Source organism: Homo sapiens, chromosome 19, assembly GCF_000001405.40.
Source record: "Homo sapiens chromosome 19, GRCh38.p14 Primary Assembly".
Taxonomy (NCBI): domain Eukaryota; kingdom Metazoa; phylum Chordata; class Mammalia; order Primates; family Hominidae; genus Homo; species Homo sapiens.
Window position 1 is genome coordinate 4,936,368 of NC_000019.10, and position 22,966 is coordinate 4,959,333.

Consider the following 22,966-nt stretch of genomic DNA (forward strand, 5'->3'; position numbering starts at 1 on the left):
GACAGATCTGCAGATGACAGACCAGGGAGATGCGTGCTCTGAGACAACACGCGAGGATGGGTGGCAGAGATGGCCGAGTGGACTCTGGGATTGGGAGGCTCAGATAGGTGGCTGAGCCCCAGGTCCTGCTCTGGGCAGTGCTAGGAGCTACCAGCCTTTGCCAGGGCTGACTTCTAAATGCAAGCCCTCTACACTGGTGTCTCTGCAGTGTGGGGGGTCAATTCATTCATCATTCATTTTCATTAAATTTTACCTTGCATTGTAGATTCACATGCAGTTATAATGTAGAGATGGCTAGGCGCAGTGGCTCAGGCCTGTTGTCCCAGCACTTTGGGAGGCTGAGGTGGGAGGATCGCTTGAGCCTGGGAGGTTGAGGCTGCAGTGAGCCGTGATCACACCACTGCCCTCCAGCCTAGGCAACAGCAAGAGAGTCTGCAAAAAAAAAAAAAAAGTGAAAAGAAAAAAAAACAGGCTGTGTACCCTTTATTCAGTTTCCCCCAGTGGTAACAACTTATATTAATAAACTATACTGTGTTATCACAACTGGAATATTGACATTGATACAGTCAAAAGTGAGTTTCCTCCTCACAAAATCCTTCTCGTTACCCCTTTTATAGCCAAACCCACCTCCCCATCCCCACCTGGTCCCTGACCCCCGGCAAGCAATAATTTTTTTTTTTGTTGGAGACGGAGTCTCGCTCTCTTTTGTTCTCCATTCATACAATTTTGTAATTTCAAGGATTTTACAATTTCAACTTTGTAATAAGGATTCCCGTTATATAAATGGAATCACACAGTATGTAACCTTTTGGGATTGATTCTTTTTTTCCCGACTCTCCATAATTACAGATTAATTGAAGTTACCGCATATCAGTAGCTCATTCCTTTTCATCCCTGAGTAGTATTCTGTGGTATAGATGGGCCACTTTTTTTTTTTTTTTTTTTTAACGACCCATTGGATATCTGAGCTGCTTCCAGGATTTTTTGCTGTTTAAGATTTGTTTATTTTTTTGAGACACAGTCTTGCTCTGTTTCCCAGGCTGGAGTGCGGTGATGTGATCTTGGCTCACTGCAACCTCCGCCTCCTGGATTCAAACGATTCTCCTGCCTCAGCCTCTGGAGTAGCTGGGATTACAGGTGCGTATGCCAGCACACCCAGCTTATTTTTGTATTTTTAGTAGAGGTGGGGTTTCTCCATGTTGGCCAGGCTGATCTTGAACTCCTGACCTCAGGTGATCCGCCCGCCTTGGCCTCCCAAAGTGTTAGGATTATAGGCGTGAGCCACTTCGCCCGGCCAGTTTAGGATTTATTTGAGTAAGTTAATAAGAAACAGTGGTCTGCAATTCTCTTGTTTTGTATGGTCTTTGTTGGTTGGTCAATACCAGCCTTATAATGTGAGCTGGGAAATGTTTATTCCTTTTTCTGTTTTCTGGAAGAGATTGTGTAAAATTTACGTTAATTCTTCTTTAAAGGTTTGATAGAATTCTTTAACGAGACCATAGGCTGGGTGCAGTGGCCGATGCCTGTAATTTCAGCACTTGGAGAGGCGGAGGTGGGCGGATCACTTGAGGTTAGGAGTTTGAGAACAGCCTGGTCAACATGGTGTGAAATCCCCGTCTCTACTAAAAATACAAAAATTAGCTGGGCTTGGTGGTGTGCACCTGCAGCCCCAGCTACTTGGGAGGCTGAGGCAGGAGAATCGTTTGAACCTGGGAGGTGGAGGTTGCAGTGAGCTATGATCATGCCATTGCACTCCAGCCTGGATGACAGAGCAAGATTCCGTCTCGGTGGGGTGGGGGAGGAAGGGAAGCTTTACTGAGGCCATGGAGATCTGGAGATGTCTTCTGGAGGAGCTTTTATGAATTGAATTTCTTCTATGCTTATGTGACTGTCTGGACTATCTGTTTCATCATGTTTGAGCTGACATACTTTCTGGGTTTTGGGGAATTAGCCGGTTTCTCTGAGCATAAAGTCATTTGTATTATTTCCTTATTCTCTGATGCCTGAAGGATCTAGTGAGATCCCTGTTTTATTCTTGGTGTTGGTAATTTATGTTTTCTTTTTATTTTTGTCAGTCTTTACCAATTTTATTTTTGAGGATCTTAGACCTTTCCCTCCCTTCTCATTTATTTGTACAGCAAGAATAAGACAGTTTTTTTTTGTTTGTTTGTTTGTTTTGAGACAAGGTCTCACTCTGTCACCCATGCTGGAGTGCAGTGGCGTGATCTCAGCTCACTGCAACCCCCAGATCCTGGCTTCAAGCGATCCTGACCTCAGGTGATCCACTCGTCTCGGCCTCTCAAAGTGCTGGGACTACAGGCATGAGCCACTGCACCTGGCATAAGAGTTTTGTTTTGGTCAGGTTTTTTTTTTTTTTTTTTTTTTTTTTTTTTTGAGATAAGGTCTTGCTCTGTTGCCCAGGCTGGAGTGCAATGGCAAGCTCTCAGTTCACTGTAGCCCCAACCTCCTGGGCTCAAGCAATCCTCCAACCTCAGCCTCCCACGTAGCTGGGACCATAGGCGTGCACCACCATGCCTGACTAATTTTTTTTTTTGTTTTTTGATGAGACAAAGTCTCGCTCTGTCACCCATGGTGGAGTGCAGTGGCACGATCTTGGTTCCCTGCAACCTCCACCTCCCGGGTTCAAGCGATTCTCCTGCTTTAGCCTCCCGAGTAGCTGGGATTACAGGCGTGCTCCACTGCACCTGGCTCATTTTTTTTTGTATTTTCAGTAGAGACAGGGTTTCACCATGTTGGCCAGGCTGGTCTTGAACTCCTGACCTTAGATAATCCACCCGCCTCAGCCTCCCAAAGTGCTAGGATTACAGGCATGAGCCACTGCACCCGGCCATTTTTTTTTTTTTTTTTTTTTTAATTTTCGGTAGCAATGGGGGTCTGGCTAGATTGGTCTCGAACTTTTGAGTTCAAGTGATACTCCTGCCTCAGCCTCCCAAAAGGTGCTGGGATTATAGGTATGAGCCACTATACCCAGTCTTAGAATATGTTTTTCTTTCTTTTTTTTTGAGACGGAGTCTTGCTGTTTGCTGTCTCACCTAGGCTAGAGTGCAGTGGTGCAATCATAGCTCACTGCAGCCTTGAACTCCTGGGCTGAAGCAATTCTCCTGCCTTAGCCTCCTTTTCCTTAACACTTAATTTGTTGAGGAATCCTGGTCATTTGTCCCAGGAGTTCCAAATGGCTCTATCCAGACTGTAGAGATGACCAGGAGATGTCACTTGCTGTGTGCGTCTGTGCTACCTGTGAGCTGGTAGGTCAGTGTGTTCCCACACTGTCCCATAGCCAAGAGCCACCTGTGCTGTGCTTGAAATGTGGCCAGGAGGAACTGGAATGTACTGTGAGTGTAAAATACACATGGGTGCCAGGCGCAGTGGCTCATGCCTGTAATCCCAGTACTTTGGGGGGCCGAGGTGGGCGGATCACAAGGTCAGGAGATCGAGACCATCCTGGCAAACACGGTGAAACCCCGTCTCTACTAAAAATACAAAAAATTAGCCAGGCGTGGTGGCGGGTGCCTATAGTGCCAGCTACTCAGGAGGCTGAGGCAGGAGAGTGGCGTGAACCCGGGAGGTGGAGCTTGCAGTGAGCCGAGATCGTGCCACTGCACTCCAGCCTGGGCGACAGAGCGAGACTGTCTCAAAAAAAAAAAAAAAAACACATGGGCTTTCAGAGACCTGGTACAAAAGAAGAATGTAAAGTAGCTCATTAATAACTTTTTCATATTCATTCCATGTTGAAATAATCTTTTGTCTACACTGGGTTCTATGGAACATATTCCAATTACTTCCACCTATGTTTACCTCTCAAACGTGCTTATTAGGAAATTTAGAATTACATACACAGCGTGTGTTCAAGTGCTGTTTCCCTCGGACGTTGCTGATGGGGATGTCGGATTATTGATCTCGGGGGATCAGTTTCACTCACAGGAGTTCTTGTATTTTGATGTAGGCCATTGGATCAAGCGTTGCCTTTATGATTTTTTTTTTTTTTTTTTTTTTTTGAGATGGAGTCTTGCTCTGTCGCCCATGCTGGAGTGCAGTGGCGTGATCATCTCAGCTCCACAACCTCCATTTCCCAGGTTCAAGCGATTCTCCTGCCTCAGCCTCCCGAGTAGCTGGGATTACAGGCACGGGCCACCATGCCCAGCTAATTCTTGTATTCTTAGTAGAGACGGGGTTTCACTATGTTGGCCATGCTAGTCTCGAAGTCCTGACCCTCGTGATCCACCCACCTTGGCCTCCCAAAGTGCTGGAATTACAGATGTGAGCCACGGTGCCCAACTTGATTTATTTATATATTTTTTTGATGAGATGGAGTCTCACTCTGTCGCCCAGGCTGGAGTGCAGTGGCACGATCTTGGCTCACTTCAGCGTCTGCCTCCTGGGTTCAAGCAATTCTCCTGCCTCAGCCTCCTGGGTAGCTGGGATTACAGGTGCGCGCTACCATGCCCAGCTAATTTTTGCATTTTTAGTAGAGACAGGGTTTTACCATGTTGGCCAGGCTGGTCTCGAACTCCTGACCTCAGATGATCGGCCTGCCTCGGTCTCCCAAAGTGTTGGAATTACAGGTCTGAGCTACCATGCCCGGCCAACCTTTATGAGTCTTGCTTGTCGGTTCTTGTGGATTTGGTGCTCCTTAGCCAAAGGTTCAAACTCATTCTTCCCAGGGCATCCTGCAATGAAACTCTGGTTTCTGTGTTTTGTTTTTTTTTTTTTTTTTTTTTTTGAGACTGAGTCTTGCCCTGTCGCCCAGGCTGGAGTGCAGTGGCGCGATCTTGGCTCACTGCAACCTCTGCCTCCCGGGTTCAAGTGATTCTTCTGCCTCAGCCTCCCGAGTAGCTGGGATTACATGCGCGCTTCTCCAAGCTCAGCTAATTTTTGTATTTTCAGTGGAGGCGGGGGTTCACCATGTTGGCCAGGCTGGTCTCGAACTCCTGACCTCGGCCTCCCAGTGTTGGTATTACAGGCGTGAGCCACTGCGCCCTGTTCCGTTTCATGTTGCTTCTGTGAGTGCAGCTTTGATTGCTAGGGGGCGTAGCTGAGCTGTTGCCCCAGGCATCCCGAGAACCCGTGGTGTTCAAGTGCTGTGAGTAGATTTAGGGGCCTCGGCAGGCCAGAATGTTCCAGCGTCCTCGTTCCTTGCAGGGATGATTCTCTGAACGACTGTCGGATCATCTTCGTGGACGAAGTCTTCAAGATTGAGCGGCCGGGTGAAGGGAGCCCCATGGTTGACAACCCCATGAGACGTGAGTTCTGAGCCAGCCTTTCCCCATCTTCCGCGGTGGGCACGGGGCGGGGGCTCTTGTCCCGTCTCTGGCTTGGCCGGGCCCCGCCGGAGCTGACCCTGCCGCCCCGTGCCCAGGGAAGAGCGGGCCGTCCTGCAAGCACTGCAAGGACGACGTGAACAGACTCTGCCGGGTCTGCGCCTGCCACCTGTGCGGGGGCCGGCAGGACCCCGACAAGCAGCTCATGTGCGATGAGTGCGACATGGCCTTCCACATCTACTGCCTGGACCCGCCCCTCAGCAGTGTTCCCAGCGAGGACGAGTGGTGAGTGCGGCCCTGCCCGCCGCGGGGAGACCAGAGCGCCCCCTACAAATCCCCAGAGGGGCACTGAGGAGATACAGGAGAGGGGCAGGCGCGGGGGCTCACGCCTGCAATCCCAGTGCTTTGGGAGGCCGAGGCGGGAGGATCACTTGAGCTCAGGAGTTCAAGAGCAGCCTGGGCAACACAAGACCAGCCTGGGGGACGTAGAGACTCTGTTTCTTTTTTTGTTTGTTTTTTTGAGACGGAGTCTTTTTTCTTTTCTTTTTCTTTTCTTTTTTTTTTGCGGCGGAGTCTCGCTGTCTCCCAGGCTGGAGTGCAGTGGCGCGATCTCAGCTCACTGCAAGCTCCGCCTCTCGGGTTCACGCCATTCTCCTGCCTCAGCCTCCCGAGTAGCTGGGACTACAGGCGCCCGCCTCCACGCCTGGCTAATTTTTTGTATTTTTAGTAGAGATGGGGTTTCACCTTGTTAGCCAGGATGTTCTTGATCCCCTGACCTCGTGATCCGTCCGTTTCGGCCTCCCAAAGTGCTGGGATTATAGGCGTGAGCCACCTCGCCCAGCCTTGAGACGGAGTCTAATGGCACGATCTTGGCTCACTGCAACCTCTGCCTCCCGGGTTCAAGCAATTCTCGTGCCTCAGCCTCCCGAGTAGCTGGGATTACAGGTGCCTGCCACCACATCCGGCTAATTTTTGTATTTTTAGTAGAGACGGGGTTTCACCATCTTGGCCAGGCTGGTCTCTTAACTCCTGACCTTAAGTGATCTGCCTGCCTCAGCCTTCCAAAGTGCTGGGATTACAGGTGTGAGCCACCATGCCTGGCCTGGAGACCCCATTTCTACAAAAAATGTAAGAAAATTAGCTGGGCGTGGTGGTGCTCGCCTGTGGTCCCAGCCACTTGGGAGGCCGAGGTAAGAGGATCGGATCGCTGGAGCCCAGGAGGTCGAGGGTGCAGTGAACTGTGATCGCGCCACTGTACTCCAGCCTGGGTGATGGAAGTGAGACCCTATTTCTTTAGAAAAGTAAAAATGAGGTCAGGTGCAGTGGCTCATGCCTGTAATCCCAGGACTTTGGGAGGCTAAGGTGGGTGGATCACGAGGTCAGGAAATTGAGGCCAGCCTGGCCAAGATGGTGAAACCCCGTCTCTACTAAAAATACAAAAAAGTTAGCCAGGCGTGGTGCCACGCGCCTGTAATCCCAGCTACTCGGGAGGCTGAGGTAGGAGAATCGCTTGAACCTGGGAGGCGGAGGTTGCCGTGAACTGAGATCGCGCCACTGCACTCAAGCCTGGCGACAGAGTGAGACTAAGTCTCAAAAACAAAAAAAAAGGGGGGGTGGTGAGGAAATCTTCCCATGTTGCTTGAGTGGGTGAGACCTGCGGCCAGCCAGGGAACAGAGTGCAGGGGGCTTCACAGCTTCTGTGAGAGGAGGTTTCGTAGCCACTGTGTTCCTGGCGCACATAATGACAATTGCGGATGTGGATGGGGAGGTTGTGATGTGCTAGGCTCGGGTCTGAGGACCTGCCTGTGGTCATTCCTCCAGCACAGAAGTGGGTGTTGTTGTTGCCCTGCCCCCCCTCCCCACATCGTAGAGATGGGGAAACTGAGTCCACGGCAGTGAGAAGGCACTCATGGAATCTGCACGTGTATTTCCCACATCCCACATTGCGTTCACTCTCACTGTTGCAAGATCCGTGGAATTCTCCGTGGAAGGCCAACAGAGAACCTGCTTTCTTTTTTTTTTGAGATAGAGTCTTGCTCTGTCCTCCAGGCTGGAGTGCAGTGGTGCAACCTCGGCTCACTGCAACCTCTGCCTCCTGGTTTCAAGCGATTCTCCTGCCTCAGCCTCCCAAGTAGCTGGGATTACAGGTGCCCACCACCATGCCCGGCTAATTTTTGTATTTTTAGTAGAGATGGGGTTTCACCGTGTTGGCCAGGCTGGTCTTGAACTCCTGACCTCAGGTGATCTGCCCGCCTCGGCCTCCCAAAGTGCTGGGATTACAGGCGTGAGCCACTGTGCCTGGCTTAGTTCGAATGAATTTAAATGTAAACAGCCTCGTGTGCCAAGCGGCCTGCAATGTGGACAGGGCAGGATGGTAGTGGTGCCAGGCGGGGAGAGCCATGTCCGTGGTGTGTGGGCAGAGGGCACATGTTGGCTGAGACATCTGCCAGGCTAGGCGTGGGCAGTGACAATCCCGACCTCGCAGGTACTGCCCTGAGTGCCGGAATGATGCCAGCGAGGTGGTACTGGCGGGAGAGCGGCTGAGAGAGAGCAAGAAGAAGGCGAAGATGGCCTCGGCCACATCGTCCTCACAGCGGGACTGGGGCAAGGTGAGGCGGGTCCTTCCCACGTGCCCGTGGCCCCTCCCCGCCTGCCAGGGCTCACGCTGTTGTTCTTTGTGTCTGTGCCTGGGACAGGGCATGGCCTGTGTGGGCCGCACCAAGGAATGTACCATCGTCCCGTCCAACCACTACGGACCCATCCCGGGGATCCCCGTGGGCACCATGTGGCGGTTCCGAGTCCAGGTACCTGCAGCGTCCCGGGGCTCCAGGGGCCACGCGGGCTCATCCTGCTTTTCTGGGGGCAGTTTCTCCTGGCTTTGGCCAGCCAGGGGTCAGGGTGGTTACCAGTGGTGCCTCGGCTAGCCGAGGAGGGGTGTGGAAAGCCTGCAGGTTTGGGTTTACTCCTTATTTTACCAGGGACCTGCAATGAATCCTTGGGGGTGGGGGCTGCTGCTCTGCTCAGAGACACGTAAGGTCATTCCCAAAGCTCCTGTCCCAGGGAAGGGGTGGCATCTGCTAAGAGGGACCTGTCTCAGCGCTGGTTGTGATCTATCATTGGGGCAGCCCCTGCCTGTGACTGGGTGTTGACAGTGCTGGGCGCTGTCAGCTGTGGGCTGTGTGTCACGGCAGACGAGACACTTTGGCACTAGTGACATTGGAGCCAGATGGTTCTCTGGGGCGGGGCCATCCTGGGCACTGCAGGGTGCTGAGCAGCATCTCTGGCCCCCACCCACTCCATGTCCTCCCAAGTCATGACAACCAGAAACGTCTGCAGACATGAGTGTCCCCTTGGAGGCAGGATTGCCCCTGGGTGAGATGCACTGAGCTGGGTGGACAAGCTGGGCCTCATCATGGAGTTCATGGGGCCAGGCGTGCAGGGCTAGGAGCTCCTGGGGCAGCGCTGTATCCCTAGTGCTCAGCGGCCAGCCGGGGCCCCATGCTCAGGCCAGGGCCTCTCAAGGCATTTTGTGGAGTGAGTGGCAGGCTGCACCTCAACCGGCCTAATGAAGGCCGGCTTTTATATCATAACCTCATTTAGAACTCAGTCACCCCCACTTTTATTTTTTTTGAGACGGAGTCTTGCTCTGTTGCCCAGGCTGGAGTGCAGTGGTGCGGTCTTGGCTCACTGCAACCTCCCTCTCCTGGGTTCAAGCGATTCTCCTGCCTCAGCCTCCCCAATAGCTGGGATCACAGGGACATGCCACCACGCCCAGCTAATTTTTGTATTTTTGGTAGAGATGGGGTTTCACCTTGTTGGCCAGGCTGGTCTTGAACTCCTGACCTCAAGTGATCCACCCACCTCGGCCCCCGAAAGTGCTGGGATTACAGGTGTGAGCCACCGTGCCTGGCCGTCACCCCCCATTTTCTAGAGGCCGAAGAGGAGCATCGGAGATCAGCAGTGAGGATGCCCCGTGCACGCTTGATGGGGCTGGAATTCACGCCAGCTGGTTTTTTTTTTTTTTTTTCCATGGTGCAGCTCAACTCCGGCCGTCTCTAGCCGAGCAGCACACGTAGTAGGTGACTCGCAGGCCTGAGGAGTTTGGTGTAAAAGTGAGGCCGCTGGCTGCTCGGGGTAGGGAGGAGGAGGGCGGTGGAGCTTCTCTGCAGCAGTCATTGCAGAGGACACCATGTATATCTTGGTGGCATCCTCAGGTCAGCGAGTCGGGTGTCCATCGGCCCCACGTGGCTGGCATACACGGCCGGAGCAACGACGGAGCGTACTCCCTAGTCCTGGCGGGGGGCTATGAGGATGATGTGGTGAGTGTGTGTGTGGGAGGGGTGGGGGAGGGTTGCTCTAGTTTTTTGGATGGTGGTAAAATACATAGAACAAAATTTCCCATCCTAGCCGTTTTTAAATGCTTGGTTCCCGGTGGCGTGAAGTATATTCCCATTGCTATGCAACCATCACCACCACCATCTCCAGAACTTTCTCATCTTCCCAAACTGAAACGTTGTCTCCACGAAGCACTCACTCCCCACCCCCTCCCAGTCCCTGGCACCGCCCAACCTGGTTCCTGCCTCTGTGACTCTGACGACTCTGGAGACCTCCTGGGAGTGGAATCGCACGGCCTGCGTCCTTGCATGCCTGGCTCCTCTCACTGAGCCCGACGTCCTTGCTTTGTCCATGTTGTCGCATGTGTCCGGATTCCCCTTTTGTTCACGGCTGAGTCCTATTCTGCCGTGCGGAGGGACCATGCTGTGTTGATCTGTCTGTCCGTGGGCACTGGGGTTCCTTCCCCTTTCGACTGCTGTGAATAGATCTGCTACGAACACGGCTGTACAAGTATCTCCAGCCCCCGTTTTCCATTCTTTTGGGTGTATATCCAGAAGTGGAATTCAAGACTCCTGTGATAATTCCATGTTGAGTGTTGTTTTTTTTTTTTCTTTTTTTTGAGACCGAGTCTCATTCTGGCTGGAGTGCAGTGGTGTGATCACAGCTCACTACAGCCACTACCTCCTGGGCTCTAGTGATCCTCCCATGTCAGCCTCCCAAGAAGCTGGGACTACAGGCAGGCACTGCCACGCCAAACTAATTTTTGTATTTTTTTGTGGTGATGGGGTTTCGCCATGTTGCCCAGGCTGATCTCGAACTCCTGGGCTTAAGCGATCCTCCCGCTGCAGCCTCCCAAAGTGCTGGGATTACGGGTGTGAGCCACCATGCCCAGCCCTCTGTTTAAGTTTCTTGAGGACGCACCACACTGTTTGTATAGTCGCTTTGCCATTCTGTAGTCCCACCAACAGTTTACAAAGGGCTCCAATTTCCCCACATTCTCACCAACGCTTGTTATTTTCTGTTTCTTTGAAAGTAGCCATCCTGGGGAGTTTGCTTTCAATGCAGTCTCTTTTTTTTTTTTTGCCTCTGCAGAGGGTTCACCCAGCCTTCTTGTCTGTTTCAGGACCATGGGAATTTTTTCACATACACGGGTAGTGGTGGTCGAGATCTTTCCGGCAACAAGAGGACCGCGGAACAGTCTTGTGATCAGAAACTCACCAACACCAACAGGTTTGTGGAATCAGCCTTCTTATTTCCTTGCTGATGCATATCTGCCGAGTCTTGGTTCTGTTTTGGGCCTCATGTCCAGCAAGTGATAGTCTCATTAGGAGCGTGGTAGAACATAGCGAAGCCTGGCATTTGGTTCCTCCCTCTGTCTCCCAAAGTGCTGGGATTACAGGCGTGAGCCACTGCGCCTGGTCTGGTTCCTCCCGTATGTGTGCCACATACCGTGAGCCATTCAGATGGATGAAAGCAAACTTCCCTATAAAAGGCCAGATAATAGATATCTTTTTTTTTTTTTTTTTTTTTTTTTTTTTGGGCAGAGTCTCGCTCTGTTGCCCAGGCTAGAGTGCAGTGGTGCACTCTCTGCTCACTGCAACCTCTGCCTCCTGGGCTCAAGCGATTCTCATGCCTCAGCCTCCTGAGTAGCTGGGATTACAGGTGCTTGCCACCTCGCCTGGCTAATTTTTGTATTTTTAGTAGAGATGGGGTTTTGCCATGTTGGCCAGGCTGGTCTCGAACTCCTGACCTCAGGTGATCTTCCCTCCTCGGCCTCCCAATATTGGTATTACAGGCATGAGCCACTGCGCCTGGCTGATAGTAGGTATCTTAATGCTGGGCCTGGTGGCTCACGCCTGTAATTCTCGCGCTTCAGGAGGCCGAGGCTCGAGGATACCTTGAGTTCAGGAGTTCAAGACCAGCCTGGGCAAGGTAGTGAGACAACCCATCTACAAAAAGTAAAAATAAAAAAATTAGCTGGGTGTGTTAGCATGTGCCTATAGTCACAGCTAGTCAGGAGGCTGAGGCAGGAGGATCACTTGAGCCCAGGAGGTTGAGGCCGCAGTGGGCTGAGATTGCACCACTGCACTCCAGCTTGAGCAACAGACTGAGATCTTGTCAAAAAAAAAAAAAAAAAAACCCCTCCAAAATAGATTGCTTCAGCTATGCAGGTCACACAGTCTATTCAGAGAACCTCTTCAGCTCTTGTGTCGTAGCACAAAATCAGCCATAGACCATATGTAAGTGAGTGAGCATGGCTGTGTTTCAGTGAATTTTATTTGCAAAAGTATGTGATAGGCCAGAATTTGCTTGGCCCCTGATTACAGGATGGGGGCGGACTTTTCCAGCATAAAAACCATCATAAAGCCCAAAGGAAAAGACAGATTTGATTATCTAAACATTATAAATATATTACATAAATAAATCCTATAAATTAAAAGGCAGATGACTAGGAGGAGTTCTTGACATGACACATGATGATAGTGTCTTTATCATATAAAGAGCTGTTGCAAATCAACAAGAAACTCATAGAAGAGCTGGGTGCGGTGGCTCACGCCTGTAATCCCAGCACTTTGAGAGGCCGAGGTAGGTGGTGGATCACCTGAGGTCAGGAGTTCAAGACTAGCCTGGCCAACATGGTGAAACCCTGTCTCTACTAAAAATACAAAAATTAGCTGGGTGTGGTGGCAGGCACCTGTAATCCCAGCTACTTGGGAGGCTGAGGCAGAATTGCTTGAACCCAGGAGGCGGAGGATGCAGTGAGCCGAAATCATGCCATTGCACTCTTGCACTCTAGCCTGGGTAACAGGAGTGAGACTCTATCTCAAGAAAGAAAGAAACTCGTAGAAGAAAGCAAAGAGGCCAGGCGTGGTGGCTCACGCCTGTAATCCCAGCACTTTGGGAGGCTGAGGTGGGCGGATCACGATGTCAGGAGATCGAAACCATCCTGGCTAACATGGTGAAACCCCATCTCTACTAAGAATACAAAAAAAAAAAAAAAAAAAAAGCCTGGTATGGTGACAAGTGCCTATAGTCCCAGCTACTCGGGAGGCTGAGGCAGGAGAATGTCATGAACCTGGGAGGCGGAGCTTGCAGTGAGCCAAGATTGCTCCACTGCACTCCAGCCTGGGTGACAGAGCAAAAAAAAAAAAAGAGAATATGGAAATAATGCACAAAAGAAGTGCAAAGTTGTAATCAAATACAAACTGAGGCTGTGGTGAGATACTATTTGTTTCCCCTATAAAGTTGGCCAAAAATTCTAAAATGTTGACATAGGTCAGGGGTAAAATAGCATTCCACTGTTGGTAGAAATACAAATTGGAACCATCTTTCTGGAAATCTCTTCTGCCTGTTTGTATGAAGAGCTTTATAAATGATCTATTCTTGTCACTCTAACTCCGCTTTGAAAAATGTCTTTAGGAGACCTCTGGCTAGGTAAAAATGTAAGATGTAATGTTTTTCATACCATTATCTAAAACAATTGGCACATAGACACACACACACACACACACACACACACACACTCTCACAAAGTCAGTAACTAAGTACCTAAAAAAGACATGGGCCATGGGTGGTGTGTCACATGCCTGTCGTTCCAGTACTTTGGGAGGCTGAGGTGGGAGGATTGCTTGAGGCTAGGAGTTTGAGACCTACTTGTGCAACATAAAATTATGAAAAATTAAAATTACAAAAAAGAATTTCAAAAAAGTTAGCTGGTTATGGTCGTGTGGGCCTATAGTCCCAGCTTGGGAGCCGGAGGTGGGAGGATGGCTTGAGCCCAGGAGGCTGCAGTGAGTAAGGCGTGATCATGCCATTGCATTCCAGCCTGGGTGACAGAGTGAGACACCCTTTCTCTTTTTGTTTGTTTTTTTTTTATATGTGTGTGTGCTTTGTTTTGTTTTTTTTGAGGCAGGGTCTCCCTCTCTTGTCCAGGGTGGAGTGCAGCAGTGTGATCGTAGCTCATTGTAGCCTCCACCTCCTTGGGCTCCACTGATCCTCCCACCTCAGCCTCCAGAGTAGCTGGGACTATAGGTGCATGTTACCACGCCTGGCTATTTTTTTTTTTTTTTGTGGAGATGGGGTTTTGCCACGTTGGCCAGGCTGGTCTTGAACTCCTGGGCTCAGGCAATCCTCCTGCCTTGGCCTCCCAGAGTACTGGGATTAGAGGCGTGAGCCACGGCACCTAGCAACCCTGTCTCAAATAAATAGTAGGCTGGGTGTGGCCTATTTTATAAATTATACATATATAACTTTGAAATATTAAATTTTTTTTTTTTTTTGAGACAGAACCTCACTCTGTCACCCAGGCTGGAGTGCAGTGGCATAATCTCGGCTCACTGCAACCTCTGCCTCCCAGACTCAAGCGATTCTCCTGCCTCAGCCTCCTGAGTAGCTGGAATTACAGGCACGCGCCACCACGCCCGGCTAACTTTTGCATTTTTAGCAGAGACGGGGTTTCACCATGTTGGCCAGGCTGGTCTCGAACTCCTGACTTCAGGCGATCTGCCTACTTCAGCCTCCCAAAGTGCTGGGATTACAGGCCTGAGCCACCACTCCCGGCTCCTGTGTTTCCTTTTTTGGGGGGTACATCCTCACCTATAATGCGTGGGGTCCTGACTCTCCCTGCAGGGCGCTGGCTCTCAACTGCTTTGCTCCCATCAATGACCAAGAAGGGGCCGAGGCCAAGGACTGGCGGTCGGGGAAGCCGGTCAGGGTGGTGCGCAATGTCAAGGGTGGCAAGAATAGCAAGTACGCCCCCGCTGAGGGCAACCGCTACGATGGCATCTACAAGGTGAGTGCCCCTTGAGGAGGCCGGGGGCTCTGTCCCCGCCGGGGCTGCCTCTGATGGAGCTGACGCTGATGCCCGCTCTCTGCAGGTTGTGAAATACTGGCCCGAGAAGGGGAAGTCCGGGTTTCTCGTGTGGCGCTACCTTCTGCGGAGGGACGATGATGAGCCTGGCCCTTGGACGAAGGAGGGGAAGGACCGGATCAAGAAGCTGGGGCTGACCATGCAGGTGTGTCTGGGATGGGGGATGGCACTTTGGGAGGCCAAGGCGGATGGATCACTTACGTTAGGAGTTCAAGACCAGCCTGGCCAACATGGTGAAACCTCATCTCTACTAAAAATACAAAAATTAGCTGGGTATGGTGGCGGGTGCCTGTAATCCCAGCTACTGAGGTGGCTGAGGCAGGAGAATTGCTTGAACCCAGAAGGTGGAGGTTATAATGAGCTGAGATTGCGCCACTGCACTGCAGCCTGGGTGACAGAATGAGAGTCCATCTCAAAACAGGAGCACTGCCGGGCTCCATGACGGCTCTGACACTTCCCGCCTGGGCACCATGTGTCCTGCTTGGAGGCTGTCATCCTTGAAGGTCATTGTGGGTCACAGAATGGGCCCTGCCTGGGCTTGTGGTGCTCATGTTCTGGACCGCGCTGAACACTCCAGGAGGCCTCCCGTCTCGGGCCCATGCTTCCCTGGTTTCTCTCTGATCCAGAATAATTTCCAGGGCCCCAGCTGATGGCACCCCCCTAGCTGTCCCATATAAATCCTCCAGCCAGGGGGTGATGGGAACGCGCAGATGACATTTGCTTCTCCGCCTGCCGCATCTCAGAGTTGAAAACCAGACTTGCTTGTCTTCGTTCTGTTGGTAAAGGGATCGCTGCAGACCAGTCAGGCATCTGGTGTCTTCTGTTTTCACTTCTTGGCTCATCACAAAAAAAAAAAAAAAAAAGCAGAAACAAACCAACCAAATTGGTGGATTCCAGAGAGATCTGGACGGAAAAATGGGGAAGATGAATATCCCCGAGCCATCTCTCACCTCCCTGTGGCGATGGGAACTGCCGAGAACTTACTCAACAAGCGGCGCAGCATTTCAGCACCAGTTAGGATGTGGTCTGTCCATTGCAGGGAGAAGCTTTACAGCAGACGAATCGTGAGACTATTTAAGGAATCTTAATTGCTGTCGAGAGCCTGATGTCCTCTACCCGAGGGGGTCACTCAGGTTGTCTTTTGAATGGATTTGTACGGTGGGGAATTTCAGAAGCTGAGGAAGTAGAGAGAAAAATAGTAATGGGAGAGACAGCCTCAGCTTCTGTTGGGAGTAGGATTTTTTTTGTTTGTTTGTTTTGAGATGGAGTCTTGCTCTGTCGCCCAGGCTGGAGTGCAGTGGTGGGATCTCGGCTCTCTGCAACCTCTGCCTCCCAGGTTCAAGCCATACTCCTGCCTCAGCCTCCTGAGTAGCTGGGATTACAGGTGCCCACCACCACGCCTGGCTCAGTTTTTGTATTTTTAGTAGAGACGGGGTTTCACCATGTTGGTCAGGCTGGTCTTGAACTCCTGACCTCAGGTGATCCACCCGCCTCTGCCTCCCAAAGTGCTGGGATTACAGGCGTAAGCCACCGCTCCCAGCCTTTTTTTTTTTTTTTTTTTGGAGACAGAGTCTCACTCTGTCGCCCAGGCTGGAGTGCAGGCATGATCTCGGCTCATTGCAACCTCCACCTCCCAGGCTCAAGCGACTCTCTCATCTCAGCCTCCTGCATAGCTGGGATCACAGGTGTGTACCACCATGCCCAGCTATTTTTGTATTTCTAGTAGAGACGGGGTTTCGCCATGTTGGCCAGGCTGGTGACCTCAGGTGATCCACCTGCTTCCACCTCCCAAAGTGCTGGGATTACAGGTGTGAGCCGCTGACCCTGGCCAGGATTTTTTTTTTTTTTATGACTCTCATCTCCATTGTAACATAAAGAATGTGAAAGGAGCTCAAAGATTTCCTGAGACACTGGAGAGTCAGACGTGACTTATAGGTACCTTCGAAATGGAGCGATGATGCCCTGTGAGGACAGAGAGGGCCCGAGTCCTCAGAATCACCAGAGTTTGGCCAGCTAAGGCCCTGGGGTCAGGTGTTCGTAAGTGAAGTTTCTGGGGAAACAGTCATGCTCATTCACTGAAGTAGCCTGCTCTCAGCGCTTGCAGTCCAGACCCATAAGGCTTGAAAACATTCACCCTAGGGTCCCTGGAAGCAAAAGTTTGCCTGCCCTCATGGAAATCGTAAAGACAACGAGATCTTATTGGTGGGATGTGATGCTGAACACGTCACCCGCGTTCGCTCACATTAAATGCGCTTACCCCGACCCTGCCAGGTGGAGCTTGGCCGATTATCTCCTCTTAGTCTCCTCTTGTTCGTAGTGAAGCTTTGCGATTAGACAGGATTAGCCATTGGTCGAGGCTCCACAGTTAACGAAGAGCTGAATGCACAGGCGTCCCCCCCTTACCAGGGGGACACTTCGAAGGTCCTCAGCACATGCTTGAAACCAGAGAGTACCAAACCGTTGATGTATAATTTTTTTTCCATACGTTTGGACTGGTGATTAAGTTTAATCTATAAATTAGGCACAGTATGAGATTCACAACCTCTCTTTCGCATCTTAGGCTTCTCTTTAGCATTTCCAAATTGTCAGCATCCCTACTCTTGCACTTTGGGGCCATTATTTTTATTTTTGAGACCAGGTCTCGCTCTGTTGTCCAGGCTGGAGTGTAGTGGTGTGATCATAGCTCACTACAGCCTCAAACTCCTGGGCTCAAGTGATTCTCCTGCCTCAGGCTCCTAAGTAGCTGGGACTACAGATGCACACCACCAGGCTCGGCTAATTTTTTAAATTTTTTTGTAGAGAGGGGATCTTGCTATGTTGCCCAGGCTGGTCTCAAACTCCTGGGCTCAAGCGATCCCCCTGCCTTGGCTTCCCAAAGTGTTGGGCTTATTTAATAAAAATTAGAATGTTTAATATTAATATTTTATATTTAGCCTGTAATCCCAGCATTTTGGATGACTGAGGCAGGTGGATCACTTGAGGTCAGGAGTTCAAGACCAGCCTGGCCAACATGGTGAAGCCCCATCTCTACTAAAAATACAAAAATTAGCTGGGTGTGGTGGCGGGCACCTGTAATCCCAGCTACTCGGGAGGCTGAGGCAGGAGAATCGAGAAGCTGGACAAAGGGAAGGTTCACATCCCTGTGGGACGATGCAATGTTTCATCATGCAGTGTGCGTGATGTGAGGTGGCTGTAAAGGGGGAGGAAGGGGCCCCGAGCCGAGGGATGCAGCGCCTCTAGACGTTGGACACTTAGAACAGTGTGCAGTTTACAACTTAGGAATTGTTTCTAGAATATTTCATGTAACATTTTCAGTTGACTTTGGGTCACTGAAACCTCAGCAAAACTAGATAAGGGAGGACTACCCTGTGCTCTTCAGGGGGATTGGGGGTCAGGTGTGTCTGGAAACCCAGACCTGGCAAGGAGGCTGGAAGAGCGGGCTCTGCATAGCGTGTGGGCCCCAAGCCTGACTCACGGCTGTCCCTCTTCCTCCTGAAGTATCCAGAAGGCTACCTGGAAGCCCTGGCCAACCGAGAGCGAGAGAAGGAGAACAGCAAGAGGGAGGAGGAGGAGCAGCAGGAGGGGGGCTTCGCGTCCCCCAGGACGGGCAAGGGCAAGTGGAAGCGGAAGTCGGCAGGTGAGAATCTCGTGGGTGTGGGGTGAGCGTCTTGTGTGTGGGGGAGCAGGTGGGCATCTCGCGGGTGTGGGGTTGAGGTCGTGTGGACGTGGGAGCCGGTGGCTGTCTCTCCGGCAGCTCGGGCCACGCGCCCCTCCCTCACGCGCCCCACCCTCTTCCAGGAGGTGGCCCGAGCAGGGCCGGGTCCCCGCGCCGGACATCCAAGAAAACCAAGGTGGAGCCCTACAGTCTCACGGCCCAGCAGAGCAGCCTCATCAGAGAGGACAAGAGCAACGCCAAGCTGTGGAATGAGGTCCTGGCGTCACTCAAGGACCGGCCGGCGAGCGGCAGCCCGGTAGGCTCGCACGGCTCACTCGTCGCCCTGATTTGCGTTGACTGCGGTAAAATGTGTGGGGCTTGTTTCCCATGTTCCCCATTTTCAAGTGTACAGCTCAGTCGCACTGAGTACATTCTTGTGGTTGTGCAACCATCACCACCATCACCACCTCCAGAACTTTATCCTCTCCCCAGACTGAAACCCTGGCCCTGAAACTGTCACTCCCACCCCCTCCCAAGCCTTGGCACTCGCTCCCCAGCCCCGGCAACTGCTCCCCAGCCCCTGCACCCGCTCCCCAGCTCCGGCACCCCCTGCCATCCTACCTTCTGTCTCTGTCTCCCGGGGCTGTTGCAAAGTGACCCCAAGCCTAGGAGTGCAAAGCGACTCACATCTCACAGCTCTGGGGCTGGGAGCCCGACATGGGCCTTGCTGGGCTAAAGTCAGGGCAGGGATAGGGCTGGGCCCTCCTGGGGGCTCCAGGGGAGAACCAGATTTCTGCCTTTCCCAAGGTCTAGAGGCACTGTATCCCTCGGCTCGGGGCCCCTTCCTCCCCCTTTACAGCCACAGCGCATCTTCTTCCAGTCTCTGAGTCTCACTCTCCCGCCCTCTCTCGGGAGGACCTCGGGGTGACATCAGGCCCCCCGCCTCACCCAGGATGCTTTCCCAGCTCCAGGTCCTTCACTCAGTCCCACCTGCCATTTCTCCTCTGCTGTGGATGGTGACGTCTCAGGATGGTGCAGGTCTCAGGATTCAGCTGTGGCCGAGGCCATCTCAGTGGTCCCTCTCTTCCCATTTCCTTCAGGCCACATTCTTCCCAGGGCTTTCTCCCCAGCTCCCACCCTACGCTGGGGCAGCCCCTTGCCCCTAGACCTTCACTTGTGTCTCTTTGGTCCCCGCACTTAGCTCCAAGCAGGAGGAGGTGTCTTTCGAGTCATCCGAGGCTGGGCTCCTGGTGGCCCGTGTACTCAGTATGCATTGTGTCAGTGGACACCATGCCTCTAAATTTTTTTGGTGACAGGAGCTCACCCTGTCACCCAGGCTGGAGTGCGGTGGCATGGACAAAGGTCACTGCCTCCTTGAACTCCCAACTCCCAGGCCACGCCTATGTTTTTAATTTATTTTGTTTATTTTTATTATTTTTTTTTGAGATGGAGTTTTGCTCTCGTTGCCCGGGCTGGAGTGTGCAATGGCATGATCTTGGATCACTGCAACCTCCACCTTCCAGGTTCAAGTGAGTCTCCTGTCTCAGCCTCCCAAGTACCTGGGATTACAGGCACCCACCACGCCTGGCTAATCTTGTATTTTTAGTAGGGATGGGATTTCACCGTGTTGGTCAGGCTGGTCTCGAACTCCTGACCTTAGGTGATCTGCTCACCTCAGCCTCCCAAAGTACTGGGATTACAGGCGTGAGCCACCATGCCCGGCCTATTTTTTAATTTTTTGTAGAGATGGGGGTCTCACTGTATTGCCGGGCTGGTCTTGAACACCTGGCTCAAGCGATCCTCTTGTCTTGGCCTTCCAAAGTTCTGGGATGACAGGCGTGAGCTGCCGCTCCCAGCCAGGAACCTCTCCTAAAGCCCTGTCTTGACTCAGTGCAGGGTGTGCTTGGTGGTGCCAGCTGGTCATATCTGGGTCCTGCCCAGCATCATTGAGGCTGGCGCCCTTGTACTGGCTCCGCCTCATCCTCCCCACCTTGCCACTTGGGGTGTTGGGGACTTCAGGTGAGGCTCATGCCTGTTGGGCCTCTGTTTTTCTCAGAACGGGGACGATCATGGCCCCCGCCTCCTGGAGTGAAGGCTGGGGACAGAATTAGAGGACCCAGGTACATGCTCAGCAGGAAGCCACTGATCTGTGGGAGCCCTGGTCCCGGTGTCTTTGCCGGCCTCACACCCGCTTCCCTCTAGTTCCAGTTGTTCCTGAGTAAAGTGGAGGAGACGTTCCAGTGTATCTGCTGTCAGGAGCTGGTGTTCCGGCCCATCACGACCGTGTGCCAGCACAACGTGTGCAAGGTGAGTAGAGATGGCCGCGGGAGCCGGGTGGAAGGTTCTGGAAGGATGACCTGACCTCCCGTTCCCACATGCCTGCCACTACAGACAGAGGCTTGTTGGCTTTGCTCCGCTCACTCTGCAGCTTTTCTCGGGGCCCTGTTGACTGCTTTCTGGGCAGCCTGTATTACCACGGAGGCCTATAACATTCTCCCCCAAGTCCTGTATGGTCAAGGGGCCAGGGTGGGAGAGGATGGGCCACAGTCTTGGCCTAAGGTCTGGAGAGGAGGTGCACATCCCCTAGGGGTCAGGAAAGAAGGCTTCTTGGAGGAGGTGGTGTTACCAGGCAGCATCCCTTGTACCTGGGACAGCAGGTGAAGAAGCCTGGGTGGGAAGTCAGCAGCTGGGGCCTGCAGTGGCTCTGGGCACTGGGGTGGTGGCCTGCCATGGGCTTTAAACTCAGGACAAGTGGTCAGTCGTAGGAGGGACACAAGATCCCAGCTGATGGTTTTTTTTTTTTTTTTTTTTTTTTTTTCTGAGACAGAGTCTCGCTCTGTTGCCCATGCTGGAGTGCAGTGGCGCAGTCTCCACTCACTGCAAGCTCTGCCTCCCGGGTTCACGCCATTCTCCCACCTCAGCCTCCCGAGTAGCTGGGACTACAGGCGCCCGCCACCGTGCCCGGCTAATTTTTTGTATTTTTAGTAGAGATGGGGTTTCACCGTGTTAGCCAGGATGGTTTCGATCTCCTGACCTTGTCATCCACCCGCCTTGGCCTCCCAAAGTGCTGGGATTACAGGTGTAAGCCACCGCGCCCACCCCGCAGCTGATGGTTTTCAAACCGATTGGTTTGGGGCCAGGACAGGGTCTCTTCCCCCCTGTGCTGTGGGCCTTGGGGCTGGATCATTGTCTGGGGTGGGGCCGTCCTGGGCACTGCAGGGTGCTGAGCAGCATCCCCGGCCCCCACCCACTCCATGCCAGGAGCTCCCTGCCTAGTCGAGACAATCACAGACATCCCCAGACACCTTCCAGTGTCCCCTGGGGGCAGAACTGCCCAGGTGGGCAGTGTGGGTCTGGGTGATGGTTTCTCTGCTGCAACCTCTGGCCAGAGCCGGCAGTCCCGGTGGACAGGTGTGGAAGGGACTGACCCTGCCACCCCACGGATCTCCCCAGGCTTCTGAGTTGCTGGCGGTTTTCCTTCCAACTGCAGTCCCGCAGTCCTCTCAGCCATGGGCCACACCCCCGGGTCTCAGACCCCGTGTTTGTTTTCATGCCAGGAGGCAGCTCAGGGAAGGTCAGGAGATGGGGTGTTCCCAGTCATGCCCATGGCATCTCTGCCTCCTCGGGCCCCACCTGCCTCGCCCTGTGGCCTGAGTCCCTTCAGCTGTGTGGGCCTCCCTGAGTGCCCTGAGTGAGGTGGCAGAAGGGGTGAGAGGCCATGGTGTCTTTGGGGCTGGTGGTCCGGGTCTGGCCATCTGTCACCTCTCAGGCGTGCAGGCACTAATCCCTCCAAGCCTCAGTTGGCCACAGTGAGAAGGGGCCTGGTAACACTGTCCTGGATGCCAGGTTGTTGTGAAGGTCCCGGCTTAGCCTCTGGCAGGAAGGAGGTGCTCAGGAGGTGGGCACAGGCAGAGGGCTGGCTGTGGGGGGCTATTGGAAGAGGGAGGCCTGGGAGCCCCGTGGCGGTAGGAAGGACTGTGGGGACATTGGAAACCATCTGTCCTGTGCATCGGTGTGAAGGCGCGGAAGCGCTGAGGATGTGAAGGAAGGGGCTAACCAGCATCACGGTGTCCCCACAATCTGTCCTTGTTGCTCTGTTCCAACTTGGGAAGCTCAGCATCGGAGGGGTTCTGGGAAACAGGCTGTGACCTTCCACCTTGATCTTTTTAAATTATAAACTTGAGGCCAGCCGTGGTGGCTAATGCCTGTAATCCCAGCACTTGGGGAGGCTGAGGTGGGAGGATCACTTGAGGTCAGGAGTTTGAGACCAGCCCGGGCAACATGGTGAAACCCCATCTCTACTAAAAATTAAAACAAAATTAGCTGGGTGAGGTGACAGGTGCTACTCAGGAGACTGAGGTGGTAGAATCGCTTGAACCTGGGAGGTACAGGTTGCGGTGAGCTGAGATCGCGCCATTGTACTCCAGCCTGGGCGTCAGAGCAAGATTCTGTCTCAAAAAAAAAAAAAAAAAATTGAAAAAAACATTCAGAGACAGCATCTCACTCTGTCGCCCAGGCTGGAGTGCAGTGGTGCCATCATAGCTCATCGCAGCCTTGAACTCCTCGCGGGGCTAAAGAGATCCTCCTGCCTTAGCCTCCTGAGTAGCTGGGGCTACAGGCATACACCACCATGGCCAACATGATGAAACCCTGTCTCTACTAAAAATACAAAAATTAGCCAGGTGTGCTGGTGGGCGCCTGTAATCCCAGCTACTCAGGAGGCTGAGACACGAGAATCCCTTGAACCCGGGAGGTGGAGGTTGCAGTGAGCCAAGATCACGCCACTGCACTCCAGCCTGGGCGACAGAGCGAGACTCTATCTTAAAA

At 52.6% G+C, this 22,966-nt stretch overlaps 1 protein-coding gene across 9 annotated transcripts in view; it reads left to right on the forward strand.

Annotated features, from left to right (window-relative positions):
- The window catches only part of UHRF1 (ubiquitin like with PHD and ring finger domains 1), a 59,075-nt gene that overhangs the window by 33,288 nt on the left and 2,821 nt on the right, over positions 1-22,966 (forward strand). For 5 of the 9 annotated variants that reach the window (NM_001290050.2, NM_001048201.3, NM_001290051.2 and 2 more), the window contains 11 exons: positions 5,161-5,261; positions 5,378-5,564; positions 7,765-7,888; positions 7,976-8,083; positions 9,494-9,598; positions 10,738-10,844; positions 14,244-14,406; positions 14,492-14,629; positions 17,983-18,121; positions 18,283-18,455; positions 20,342-20,446. In NM_001290050.2, coding sequence (NP_001276979.1) covers positions 5,161-5,261; positions 5,378-5,564; positions 7,765-7,888; positions 7,976-8,083; positions 9,494-9,598; positions 10,738-10,844; positions 14,244-14,406; positions 14,492-14,629; positions 17,983-18,121; positions 18,283-18,455; positions 20,342-20,446 — 1,450 coding nt within the window. The remainder of the gene's footprint in view (positions 1-5,160; positions 5,262-5,377; positions 5,565-7,764; positions 7,889-7,975; positions 8,084-9,493; positions 9,599-10,737; positions 10,845-14,243; positions 14,407-14,491; positions 14,630-17,982; positions 18,122-18,282; positions 18,456-20,341; positions 20,447-22,966) is intronic. The other 4 variants (XM_011527942.2, XM_047438707.1, XM_047438708.1 and 1 more) reach the window with 1 other exon arrangement.